Source organism: Homo sapiens, chromosome 1, assembly GCF_000001405.40.
Source record: "Homo sapiens chromosome 1, GRCh38.p14 Primary Assembly".
NCBI lineage: Eukaryota > Metazoa > Chordata > Mammalia > Primates > Hominidae > Homo > Homo sapiens.
The window spans coordinates 149058455-149072506 of NC_000001.11; the positions used below are offsets into that span (position 1 = coordinate 149058455).

Sequence of the window (14052 nt, forward strand, 5' to 3'; positions counted from 1 at the left end):
TTTGTGCAAACAGTTATGCCTTATTGTTCCCATCAGTTCAAAGAAAATGCCCCAGATGATTTCTAGGAGGAAAACTGCAGTATTCAGCCCTGTCTCATCAAATGCCCAGCTCGTTCATGGATGCAAGAATTTTAGACACTGAAATTAGAATGAAGGAGGAAATCTACAAACCCTTGAGTCCAAATCATACTTCTGTGAATTTTTTACATCTGCCTGGGTCCAATGTGCTGAGAGCGGGCTCAGGTTGCCACAGGCATGGCTGGAGACTAGGAATAGAGCCTTGCTCACTGACCCATTTCATGTCTAGGCTTCCAACTGAGACTACAGTTTCATTACAACCTATATGCGCCCATAGGTCCTGCCTGTGGCAATGACATCTCTCAGGTCAGTAAGGGCCACTTGGAACAGGAATATCACCCCTATCTGGAAGACCAGGTGGAGGCTTATCACCTTCATAGTAAGGTACTCACTGTCCACGTCAAGAGCCAAGCCAAGGTACTGTTCCTCCAATGAGTAAACAGCACTGCTGTAGGGCTGGCCTAAGTCAGGCAGTTCAAGATAACCTGAAGGAGTCGAATAACATCTATCCAGTGAGTCCTGCAAGACTTCAGGCTCTTTCTCATCCAGCAGCTCCCTGCTGAGCCTGGAAAAGTAGGAAAAAGTAAAGAATAAGCCAGGGGGAATCAGAAACCACACAGCCCCAGCTAGATTTCATGGCTAACATAAGGAACTGTTTAAAAAGAAAAAGGACAGATCCATTAATGAGGTAATGAATTATTGCCTTTAGGTTGGGATAGACCAGGGCCAGGTAGAAAAGAATGAAAGAGAAAGACAGGGAGAGACAGAGACAGAGACAGAGAGAAAGTGACCTAGTGAATTGGCCGGGTGACACACTGATGAAGGAGTAAAAGGACACTCTGAGTTCGTGCCCTCATGACACACAGCAAACTGTGATCATGAAAAGAGTGAGCTCAATAGTTTTCCATAAAATATGCTCAAAATTCGATGCAGTGGCCATGAAAGTACAGCTTTTGAAGTATGGTCAACCTATGGTACGTTAGGAAATGATAAGGGGAGGAAGAAATGGAAACCTAAACATCTACTGCAATGAAAACCAACAGCAATGACAGTAGGAGTAATTCAGCCTTCGTTGAAAACGTGACATCAAACACACTCTGGTTTCCCTGAATCTGTTGCCTCCAGGTGTTAACACAGAACTAAGGATCCAGAATTGCTGAAAGTCACCTGGGGCATGGTGGGTTTTGATTTTCTTCCCCTTCTTTTCTTCCCCTTCTTCTTTTCTTCTTTGATCTTCTTCCCCTTCTTTTCTTCCCCTTCCCCTTCTTTTCAATTTCTGCAATAAATTCAGACATGGACAGACACATTAAGCTGATTCCCCTACACATATAACAATCCACTGTCTAATCCTCACACAGGGACCTCAGGCTCCTCAGCATAAGAATAGGACACTGTGAGAGATATATTTCAGGAGGCCTGAAGGCTGGTTATGATAGAAATTCCTCAGTTTTTCTCCCAGAAACTGTGGGTAAAATGTCCCTATTCTAGTAGATCGTTATCCCAATATCATTGGTCCCAAATTTGTGCAAACAGTTATGCCATATTTTTCCAATCAATTTAAAGCAAATACCCTCAAATGATTTCTAGGAGAAAAACTGCAATATTTAGCCCTGTCTCATCAAATACTCAGATTGTTCATGGTTGTGAGGACTTTAGACACTGAAATTAGAGTGAAAAAGGAAATCTACAAACCCTTGAGTCAAAATCATAGTTCTCTGAATTTGTCACATCTGCCCAGGTCCAATGTCATGAGGATAGGATCAGGGCGCCACAGGTATGGCCTGAGACTAGGAAGAGAGTCTTGCCCACTGACCCATCCCTCATCTGGGCTTCCAGGTAGAACTAGAGTTTCATTCAACCTACATGTGCCTATAGGTCCTCCCTGTGGCAATGACATCTCTCAGCTCAGTAATGGCCACTTGGAGCAGGAATATGATCTTTATATGGAAGACTCAGTGGATCCTTATCACCTTCATAGAAAGGTACTCACCTCCCACGTCAAGAGAAAAGCCAACATGTTTTTCCTCCAATGCATAAAAGGAACTTCCATAGGGCTGGCAGGAGTCAGGCTGTTCAAGACAACTGGAAGGAGTTGAATAACATCTATCCAGTGAGTCCTGCAAGACTTCAGGCTCTACTACCTCCAGCAGCTCCCTGCTGAGCCTGGAAAAGGAGGAAAAAGTAAAGAATAAGCCAGGGGAAATCAGACACAACAGAGCCCCAACTAGGTTTCATGGGTAGCATAGGGAAGTGGTTAAAAAACTAAAAGGATAGATCCATTAATGAGGTAACAAATTATTGCCTTCATGTTGGGACACAACGGGGCCAAATGGAAAAGAATGAAAGAGAAAGACAGATAGACACACACACACACACACACACACACACACACAAACACACACACACAGAGAACGAGCTCAGTGAATTGTCCAGATGACACACTGATGAGGGAGTAACAGGACACTCTGAGTTAGTGCCCTCAGGACACACAGCATACAGGGATCATGAAAAGACTGAGCTCAATAATTTTCCATAAAATGTGCTCAAATTTCCATGCAGTCGCCATGAGAATAGAGTTTTTGAAGTCTGGTCCACCTACAGTAGGTTAGTAAATGATAAGGGGAGGAAGAAATGGAAACCTAAATATCTACTGCAATGAAAACCAACAGCAATGTTAGTAGGAATAATTCAGGCTTGCTTGAAAAGATGTAATCGATAATGTCAGCCCGCTCTGTTTTCCCTGAACCAGGAGTCTCCAGATGTCAACACAGAAGTAGCTGTTCACAATTGCTCAGTTACCTGGGGCATGGTGGGCCTTGGTCTTCTTCCTCTTCTTGGTCCTTTTTAATTCCTGCAATACATTCAGACAGGGACAGACAAAATAAGCCAATTCACCTACACCCATAACAGTCCACTGTCTAATCCCCACACAGGGATCTCAGGCTCCTCAGCATGAGCACAGGACAATGTGACAGATATACTTCAGGAAGCCTGAAAGCTGGTCATGATATTCTTTGGTTTGCATCTCAGAACCAAGGGTGAAATATCCCCATTCTGGTAGATCGTTATCCCAAAATCATTTATCCCAAGTTTGTGCAAACAGTTATGCCTTATTGTTCCCATCAGTTCAAAGAAAATGCCCCAGATGATTTCTAGGAGGAAAACTGCAGTATTCAGCCCTGTCTCATCAAATGCCCAGCTCGTTCATGGATGCAAGAATTTTAGACACTGAAATTAGAATGAAGGAGGAAATCTACAAACCCTTGAGTCCAAATCATACTTCTGTGAATTTTTTACATCTGCCTGGGTCCAATGTGCTGAGAGCGGGCTCAGGTTGCCACAGGCATGGCTGGAGACTAGGAATGGAGCCTTGCTCACTGACCCATTTCATGTCTAGGCTTCCAGCTGAGACTACAGTTTCATTACAACCTATATGCGCCCATAGGTCCTGCCTGTGGCAATGACATCTCTCAGGTCAGTAAGGGCCACTTGGAACAGGAATATCACCTCTATCTGGAAGACCAGGTGGAGGCTTATCACCTTCATAGTAAGGTACTCACTGTCCAAGTCAAGAGCCAAGCCAAGGTACTGTTCCTCCAATGAGTAAACAGCACTGCTGTAGGGCTGGCCTAAGTCAGGCAGTTCAAGATAACCTGAAGGAGTCGAATACCATCTACCCAGTGAGTCCTGCAAGACTTCAGGCTCTTTCTCATCCAGCAGCTCCCTGCTGAGCCTGGAAAAGTAGGAAAAAGTAAAGAATAAGCCAGGGGGAATCAGAAACCACACAGCCCCAGCTAGATTTCATGGCTAACATAAGGAACTGTTTAAAAAGAAAAAGGACAGATCCATTAATGAGGTAATGAATTATTGCCTTTAGGTTGGGATAGACCAGGGTCAGGTGGAAAAGAATGAAAGAGAAAGACAGGGAGAGGGAGAGAGAGAGAGAGGAGAAAGTGAGCTCAGCGAATTGGCCGGGTGACACACTGATGAAGGGGTCAAAGGACACTCTGAGTTAGTGCCCTCGGGACACACAGCGAACAGTGATCATGAAAAGAGTGGGCTCAATAATTTTCCATAAACTTGCTCAAGATTCCATGCAGTTGCCATACAGCCTTTGAGGTATGGTCAACCTATAGTAAGTTAGTAAATGATAAGGGGAGGAAGAAATGGAAACCTAAACATCTACTGCAATGAAAACCAACAGCAATGGCAGTAGGAGTAATTCAACCTCCGTTGAAAACATGAAATTGAACACACTCTTGTTTTCCCTGGACCTGGCATCTCCAGGTGTCAACACAGAATTAAGCATCCATAATTGCTCAAAGTTACCTGGGGCATGATGGGTCTTGGTCTTCTTCCACTTCTTGGTACTTTTCAATTTCTGCAATAAGTTCAGACATGGACAGTCATATTAAGCTGGTTCTCCTACACACATAACAATCCACTGTCTAATCCTCACACAGGGACTTCAGGCTCCTCAGCATGAGAATAGGACACTGTGAGAGATATTCTTCAGGAGGCCTGAAGGCTGATCACCATAGAGATTCCTTGGTTTTTGTCCCAGAAACTGTGGGTAAAATTCCCTATTCTGGTAGACCGTTATCCCAATATCATTTGTCCCAAGTTTGTGCAAATGGTTATGCCATATTTTTCCAATCGATTTAAAGCAAATGCCCCCAAATGGTTGCTAGGAGAAAAACTGCACTATTCAGCCCTGTCTCATCAAATACTCAGATTGTTCATGGTAGCGAGGATTTTAGACGCTGAAATTAGAGTGAAGGATGAAATCTACAAGATCTACAAAATTGAGACAAAATCAGAGTTGTGTGAATTTGTCACATCTGCCCAGGTCCAATGTCATGAGAGTAGGATTAGGGCGCCACAGGCATGGCCTGAGACTAGGAAGAGAGCCTTGCTCACTGACCCATCCCTTGTCTGGGCTTCCAAGTGGAACTAGAGTTTCATTCAACGTACATGTGCCTATAGGTCCTCCCTGTGGCAATGACATCTCTCAGCTCAGTAACGGCCACTTGCAGTAGGAATATGACCCTAACCAGAAGACTCAGTGGATCCTTATCACCTTCATAGAAAGGTACTCACCATCCATGTCAACAGCCAAGCCAACACGCTGTTGCTCCAATACGTAAAAGGCACTTCTGTAGGGCTGGCATGAGTCAGTCAGTTCAAGACAACCTGAAGGAGTTGAATAACATCTATCCAGTGAGTCCTGCAAGACTTCAGGCCCTTTCTCATCCAGCAGCTCCCTGCTGAGCCTGGAAAAGTGGGAAAAAGTAAAGAATAAGCCAGGGGGAATCAGAAACCACACAGCCCCAGCTAGATTTCATGGCTAACATAAGGAAGAGTTTGAAAAGAAAAAGGACAGATCCATTAATGAGGTAACAAATTATTGCCTTTATGTTGGGATAGACTAGGGCCAGGTAGAAAAGGATGAAAGAGAAAGACACACACACACACACAGACACAGACACACACACACACACACACAGAGCGAGCTGAGTGATTTGGTCAGGTGACACACTGATGAGGGAGTCAAAGGACACTCTGTATTTGTGCTCTCAGGACACACAGTGAACAGTGATCATGAAAAGCATGTCCTCAATAATTTTGCATAAAATGTGCTCAAGTTTCCCTGCAGTTACCATGAGAATACAGCTTTTGAGGTATGGTCAACTTTCACTAGGTTAGTAAATGATAAGGGTAGGAAGAAATGGAAACCTAAACATTTACTCTAATGAGAACCAAAAAGCAATGTAGTAGGCATAATTCATACTTGTCTGACAAGACAAAATCATTATTTTCAGCATGTACTGTTTTCCCTGGACTTGGCATCTCCAGGTGTCAACATCAAATTAACTGTCCACAATTTCTCAGACTCACCTGGGACCTGTTGCCTCTTGGTCCTCCTTTTTCACTTGATCCCACCGATGTCCTGCAAATAAATTCAGATGGGCCCTCTTACATTAAGCAGTCCTTCCTTGCACACAGAAACATTCCTCTGTCCAATCCTAACACAGGGACATCAGTCTTGTCAGTGTGAGAACAGGAGACTTTGAGAGAAATATTCCAGTAGGCCTGAGGTCAAGTCTTGAGAAAACTGGCTTGGGTTCTTTCATGAGCCTTGGGCAAAATTCCCCTGTGTTGGAATGTTATCTTCCCTATGTGCTCTGTCCTAGGTTTATGTACACAAATGCGCGATTTTTTTCCCCAATAAATTGTAGGCAAATAGTTCTAACACCTCATAGGAGAGATACTTCAATATTAAGCTTTCTCTCATCAAATACCCAGAATTTGATAGTTTATGAGATTGTGGACACAGAGATTTGATGAGGGGGTGCAATGAACCAGCTCTTGAGTCAAAATGTAACTTGGTTCTACACAGTAGCATCAGCTATTATGGCTTTTGTGGGTGAAAAGTCAGCCATTTATCTAGAAAACATACCAGGAACATGACGGACAGATGAGCTAAAACAAGCGAACTTAGAAGACACAGAAAATGGGAATAAATTCAGTGAAACCTGGGTCACATCTTTCACTGAGAGGTAGACAAGGGTGACACTGGCCTTGGGCAGGTAAAGAACCACACAGACATGCTTTGGGAACAAAACTCATAAGGAATTTTGTAGCTGGCAAGAGACATTTAATTCAGATGAGCTGATCTGACAGACAACTCCTGGGCATGTGCTACATAGTTTGGTGTGAGTTTGCCACACCTGCCTTGAGTTCAATGTCGTGACAGTCAGTCCAGGTTGGCACGGGCATGGCCTGAGACTAGGAAGAGAGCAAAGCTCACTGACCCACCCCATGCCTGTGCTTCAGACTCGACTCCAGAGTGATTGAAATCTACATTGATATATAGGTTCAGCCCACAGTGATGGCAAATCTCAGCCCAACAAGGGGCACAAGGCCCAAAGATTATGGGGTCTACCTGGGCCATGAACTGGAGCTTTATCACCTTCACAATGGAGTACTCACTGCCTATGTCAACAGCCATGCAGACTTGCTGTTCCTCTAATGAGTGAAATGTGCTGCTGTAAGACTTGTACGAGGCCAACATTTCAGGAGGAATTGAGGGAGTCGAATAACCTTCATCCCAGGACTCCTGGGGGACTTCCTCCTCTTCAGACTCCTGCAGATTCCTGATGAGCCAGGCAGGACAGGGATGATAGAAGATTTAACCAACAGACATTAGACAACAAAACCTCCCAGATGATCTGATGGGAGACAGAATGGAGTGGTCACAGAAACCAAAGGCATTTTTCCTTCAAGAGAAATAAAACTATCCTTCTAAATACAGGGTGGAGGGTGACTGCTCTGGGGACAGAGCAAAAATGGGCAGCGTGTGCTCAGTACATTTGCCACAGATGAGCCAACTCAGGGCACCCAGACTCTCCCTGTAAACTACCATCATGTCTTGCAGCACAGAGAACTGACACAGGGCTTCAACTACTTTGCATAAATTGGGTTGAATTTTACATGCAGCATTCAAGTGAAGAGAGTTCTTGACGCAGTGCAGACACAGATCTTGTGTATTAAGGGCCCCATTTTCCCAATATTTTGATATAATATATTTACTTTTTCAATTTCTTTTCTTGCAAAAATACTAGCCAACATACTACCAACAAATAGGAAGAAAGCATATATACACCTCTCCCTTGATTTAGACACATGGGAGAGAATAGGCAACACCAAGAAATCCCTGTTTGAGGGTCTGGAGTGGACTTCCAGCAAACTCCAACAGACCTGAAGCTGAGGGACCTGACTGTTACAAGGAAAACTAACACACAGAAAGGAATAGCATCAACATCAACAAAAAAGACATCCACCCCAAAACCCCATCTGTAGGTCGCCATCATCAAAGACCAAGGGTAGATAAAACCACAAAGGTGGGGAGAAACCAGAGCACAAAAGCTGAAAATTCCAAAAACCTGACATCCCTTCTCCTCCAAAGGATCGCAGCTCCTCGCCAGCAATGGAACAAAGCAGGATGGAGAATGACTTTGATGAGCTGACAGAAGTAGGCTTCAGAAAGTCGGTAATAACAAACTTCTCTGAGCTAAAGGAGGATGTGCGAACTCATCGCAAGGAAGCTAAAAACCTTGAAAAAAGATTAGACGAATGGCTAACCAGAATGAACAGTGTAGAGAAGACCTTAAATGACCTGATGGAGCTGAAAACCATGGCACCAGAACTACGTGATGCATGCACAAGCTTCAGTAGCCAATTCGATCAAGTGCAAGAAACGGTATCAGTGATTCAAGATCAAATTAGTGAAATGAAGCGAGAAGAGAAGTTTAGAGAAAAAAGAGTAAAAAGAAATGAACAAGCCTCCAATAAATATGGGACTATGTGGAAAGACCAAATCTACGTTTGATTGGTGTACTGAAAGTGACGGGGAGAATGGAACCAAGCTGGGAAACATTCTTCAGGATATTATCCAGGAGGACTTCCCCAACCTAGCAAGGAAGGCCAACATTCAAATTCAGGAAACACAGAGAACACCATAAAGATACTCCTCGAGAAGAGCAACCCCAAAACACGTAATTGTCAGATTCACCAAGGTTGAAATGAAGGAAAAAATGCTAAGGGCAGCCAGAGAGAAAGGTCGGATTACCCACAAAGGGAAACTCATCAGACTAGCAGCAGATCTCTTGGCACAAACCCTACAAGCCAGAAGAGAGTGGGAGCAATATTCAACATTCTTTTTTTTTTCCATATGTATAGTTTTCCTTTATTATTTTTTGTGTGTATGTGTATATATATATATATATTTTTAATACTTTAAGTCTTAGGGTACATGTGCACAACGTGCAGGTTAGTTACATATGTATACATGTCCACATTGGTGTGCTTCACCCATTAACTCATCATTTAACATTAGGTATATCTCCTAATGCTACCCCTCCTCCCTCCCCACACCCTACAACAGGCCCCAGTGTGTGATGTTCCCCTTTCTGTGTCCATGTGTTCTCATTGTTCAATTCCCACCTGTGAGTAAGAACATGCGGTATTTGGTTTTTTGTCCTTGCAATAGTTTGCTGAGAATGATGGTTTCCAGCTTCATCCATGTCCCTACAAAGGACATGAACTCATCATTTTTTATAGCTGCATAGTATTCCATGGTGTATATGTGCCACATTTTCTTAATCCAGTCTATCATTGCTGGATATTTGGCTTGGTTCCAAGTCTTTGCTATTGTGAATAGTGCCGCAATAAACATATGTGTGCATGTGTCTTTACAGCAGCATGATTTATAATCCTTTGGGTATACACCCAGTAATGGGATGGCTGGGTCAAATGGTATTTCTAGTTCTAGATCCTTGAGGAATTGCCACACTGCCTTCCACAATCGTTGAACTAGTTTACAGTCCCACCAACAGTGTAAAAGTGTTCCTATTTCTCCACATCCTCTCCAGCATCTTCAACATTCTTAAAGAAAAGAATTTTCAACCAAGAATTTCATATCCAGCCAAACAAAGCTTCATAAGTGAAGGAGAAATAAATCCTTTACAGAGAAGCAAATGCTGACAGATTTTGTCACCACCAGGCCTGCCTTACAAGAGCTCCTAAAGGAAGCACTAAACATGGAAAGGAACAACCGGTACCAGCCACTGCAAAAACATGCCAAACTCTAAAGACCATTGACGCTAGGAAGAAACTGCATCAACTAACGGGTGAAATAACCAGCTAACATCATAACGACAGGATCAAATTCACACATAACAATATTAACCTTAAATGTAAATGGGCTAAATGCCCCAGTTAAAAAACACAGAATGGCAAATTGGATAAAGAGTCAAGACCCATCAGTGTGCTGTATTCAGGAAACCCATCTCACATGCAGAGACACACATAGGCTCAAAATAAAGGGATGGAGGAAGATCTACCAAGCAAATGGAAAACAAAAAAAGGCAGGGGTTGCAATCCTAGTCTCTGATAAAACAGACTTTAAACCAACAAAGATCAAAAGAGACAAAGAAGGCCACTACATAATGGTAAAGGGATCAATTCAACAGGAAGAGTTAACTATCCTAAATATATATGCACCCTATACAGGAGCACCCAGATTCATAAAGCAAGTCCTGAGAGACCTACAAAGAGATTTAGACTCCACACAATCATCATGGGAGACTTTAACACCCCACTGTCAATATTAGACAGATCAATGAGACAGAAGCTTAACAAGGATATCCAGGACTTGAACTCAGCTCTCCACCAAGCAGACCTAAAAGACATCTACAGAACTCTCCACCCCAAATCAACAGAATATACATTCTTCTCAGCACCACATCACACTTATTCCAAAATTGACCACATAGTTGGAGGTAAAGCACTCGTCAGCAAATGTAAAAGAATGGAAATCACAACAAACTGTCAGACCACAGTGCAATCAAATTAGAACTCAGGATTAAGAAACTCACTCAAAACCGCACAACTACATGGAAACTGAACAACCTGCTCCTGAACGACTACTGGGAAAATAACAAAATGAAGGCAGAAATAAAGACGTTCTTTGAAACCAATGAGAACAAAGACAAAACATACCAGAATCTCTGGGACACATTTAAAGCAATGTGTAGAGGGAAAATTATAGCACTAAATGCCCACAAGAGAAAGCAGAAAAGATCTAAAATTGACACCCTAACATCACAATTAAAATAACTAGAGAAGCAAAGCAAACAAATTCAAAAGCTAGCAGAAGACAAGAAGTAACTAAGATCAGAGCAGAACTAAAGGAGATAGAGACGCAAAAAACCCTTCAAAAAATCAATGAATCCAGGGCTGGTTTTTTGAAAAGATCAACAAGAAAACCCTGTTTGGCTAGTTCACCTGGCTCATCTGATGGCAAGTTCCTATCTTGAGAGGACTATGAAATTAAAACCAATACAAGTGCCACAAATAACATACAACATTGTAAATCAGCACAATTTGTAGCTGGGTGAATGGAAGAAATAGTTCTATTCATCACTTCCTCATTTTCCCTAAATCTACAATCTCCAGATGTCACTACTGAATTAACAGCCAACAATTCCACAACATTACCTGGGAGACACTGGCCCTTTTTCTTCCTCTTCCTCATCATCACTTTCATTTTCTGTAAATAAATTCAGAGAAGCAGGTCACATTAAGCAATTCATACTTCACATATGAACAAATCACTGTCCAGTCATAGCCAAGGACATAACTATTCTCAGTGCAAGAATAAGGATTCTGACAGGAATATTCTAGGGTGTCCTAGATTAACTTTGGTGAGAATTAGATGACCCTGCTTTCCAGACCCACAGGCCAAAATCTCCCTCTACGTGTAGACCATAATGCCATATTCCCTGCCTGAGTCAAAGTTAAACAAAATTTTTTCCCCAAAAAAATCTCCAAAAATTGGTCAAACAATTTTCTAAGAGTGTTGCTGCGATACGGACTTATATCACCAGGTAACATGGACATTAAATGTTTAGAGGCATCTATACATGAAACACGACTGATAGATAAATTTGAACAACTCTTGCTTTAAAAAGAATCTGTGATTTGGGAGGCCAAGACAGGTGAATCATTTGAGGTCATGAGTTCAGGACTACCCTGGCCAATATGGGGAAACCCTGTCTCTACTAAAAATACAAAAATTAGCCAGATGTGATGTTGTGCACCTGTGGTCCTAGCAACTCAGGAGACTGAGGCAGGAGAATCACTTGAATCTGGGAGGCAGAGGTTGCACCAAGCCAAGATGGTGCCACTGTACTCCAGCCTGGGTGACAGAGCAAGACTCCATCGCAAAAAAAAAAAAAAAAAAAAAAAAATCCACGATGCTACAAAGAAACATTGGATCAGCCATTGCATTGACAGGGTGGAGAACCAGGGTCCAGCCTTGCTTTATGGAAATATATCACCAAAGTAAAGAAGAAAAGTTTCCGTCCTGATTTCAGGGTGACTGTGCAGCTAAGCAAGCTGACTTAAAGGAGATCCAGATGAAAGCTGAGAGCAGTGAAGCCTGGGGAACGATATTTCCAAAAACAAAGGCAAGGCTGCCAGCTTCCTTAAACAGGCATAGAAACTCCATGGACATTGTTCAGGGACAGATGACTTAATCACAGATGACAAGAGATACTGAATCGAAGCTAGGAGGCCTGACAGATACTGCCTGTGCACCTCCTGCACTCAGGTGACTATGAGATTGTCACACTTGCCTGGGGTTGAGTAACTTGATACTGGGGACTGGCAGACAAAGGCATGACATTAGCTGAGAAGGACAAAAAACTCCCTGATATCTGTTTAGAAACCCATCACAGTTTTTTATTCAAATGAATTTGTGTTTATAGAGCCTGTCTTCAGAGTTTATCTTCCTCAGCCTAGAGAGAGGTATGAGACACAAGGAAAACAGAGGCTACCTGGAATAATGTGTACAGCATCTTCCCGTTCAACATGAGAGGATGAGCCAATGAGAGTTGAGTCGACTTTGTCTTCCTCAAATGTGATTTTGGTTTTCCTATGTGGCTGGTTGGAGTCATAAGGGCCATGGCTATTTGAATAAGTGATGGCACATTCCTCCAGTGAGTCCTCAGGGACTTCCTTTTCTTCAGCCTTCTGCATCTCCCTGATGAGCCAGGTGGGACAGAGATGACAGAAGATTAAACACAGAGGGATTGGACCCCAGGGAGTCCTAGCTGGTTTTGACAGGCGGCATTAAGAGAGTGGTCCCAGAAAGCAAAATGGAGGTTCCCATTAAGAGGGAACAGGTAATCCTCTTCTCTCTGCAACAGACCATGGCTGCCATGGGAACCAGAGAGGAAGAGAGCAGCTGCTGTTCATTGCACTGGACAGATAGGAGCTGAGGAGGATGAAGACTCAGCTATCCTTGTACGGTGCAGACATGACACTCGGCACACATAGAGAAACATGACAGCTGCCGCACCCTGTGTCTAAGCTGGGTTCAATTTCACATACTGTGGCCAAGCGAATGCGGGTTTTTGGCCCATCATAGATGCCAGAGAGGGTGTGCCTCCTAGATATTCCTCATATGTTACCATCCATTAATTGTTCCTGAGTATTCAGTGTTACCTGGGGGCAGACGATTTCTGCACTTTCTCAGCCACCTCAATTTGAACATCTTCATCGTCATCGTTGTCATTTTCTGTAAATACAGAAGTGTTCGTTCAGATATTTCCCACTTCACAGTCTGCAAGCACAGTCAGCCCAATGTGCAACAGAGACATGAACATCTAGGCATGGGTCACCGTTCAACTGAAAACTCTCATGTTTTATCTTTAACAGAATGCCCTGGCATGGTTTCCTGATCCATCAGGCAATGCATTTCTGATCTGGAGGGCCACCATCAACATGTGGCCAAATATTGAAAAGACCTTTCGCTTCCCATATCACTGGAGGCTTGTGCAGCCTCTCTCTGGACGTTGGCAGCTGTCTCCCCCATCCTGCCAGATCTGATTCCCAGGCACAGGCTTGGTGTCCTGTCACGGTTTGCATTTCAAACCTAATTCTTTCTCTTAGAAGCAGACAAACTTGTCCCACAGTCCTCTATGCATCAGAAGATTTCAAGCCTCCAAGTGGCTTCTGCTGTGTTCTTCAGGGACATTCTATCCATGGGGAGTGCTCCAGTCTGAAGCACTTCCTACCACAAAACGCCCCCACATAAAGTGCCTTCTCCAACATCACACGGCGAGGGCCTTCATCTCATTTTGGAAAGCAGTTGTAAGTGTTCCCACATTTGAATGCTTCAGACCCTTGCAAGAGACAATTTGTCTGCCACGGAGAGAGACAAACTCAGGAAGGACAAGTCATTCACTCTCTGACAGTAACTAAGAACATTGCCGAAAAGACAGCCTGGGAACCTTCATTCTTAGTCCAGAGCTCTTTTCACTCTAACAAGCCTGCTCCCATCGCAGCCTCCTTCCTGTCCTTTAAAACTAGATAGATGCTGCCTCTTGCTCCAAAGACCACCTTCCA

The 14052-nt window shown here is 43.3% G+C and overlaps 1 protein-coding gene across 23 annotated transcripts in view; it reads right to left on the reverse strand.

Moving 5' to 3' along the window:
- NBPF9 (NBPF member 9) overlaps positions 1-14052 on the reverse strand; it is a 51366-nt gene that overhangs the window by 6269 nt on the left and 31045 nt on the right. For 13 of the 23 annotated variants that reach the window (NM_001388374.1, NM_001388377.1, NM_001388375.1 and 10 more), the window contains 10 exons: positions 13150-13222; positions 12480-12685; positions 11140-11191; positions 7072-7235; positions 5977-6028; positions 5179-5351; positions 4408-4459; positions 3639-3811; positions 2878-2929; positions 2069-2241 (listed from right to left, as the gene is read on the reverse strand). In NM_001388374.1, coding sequence (NP_001375303.1) covers positions 2069-2241; positions 2878-2929; positions 3639-3811; positions 4408-4459; positions 5179-5351; positions 5977-6028; positions 7072-7235; positions 11140-11191; positions 12480-12685; positions 13150-13222 — 1170 coding nt within the window. Of the gene's footprint in view, positions 1-470; positions 644-1245; positions 1355-2068; positions 2242-2877; positions 2930-3638; positions 3812-4407; positions 4460-5178; positions 5352-5976; positions 6029-7071; positions 7311-11139; positions 11192-12479; positions 12686-13149; positions 13223-14052 lie in introns of those variants that run through there. The other 10 variants (NM_001388367.1, NM_001388369.1, NM_001277444.2 and 7 more) reach the window with 4 other exon arrangements.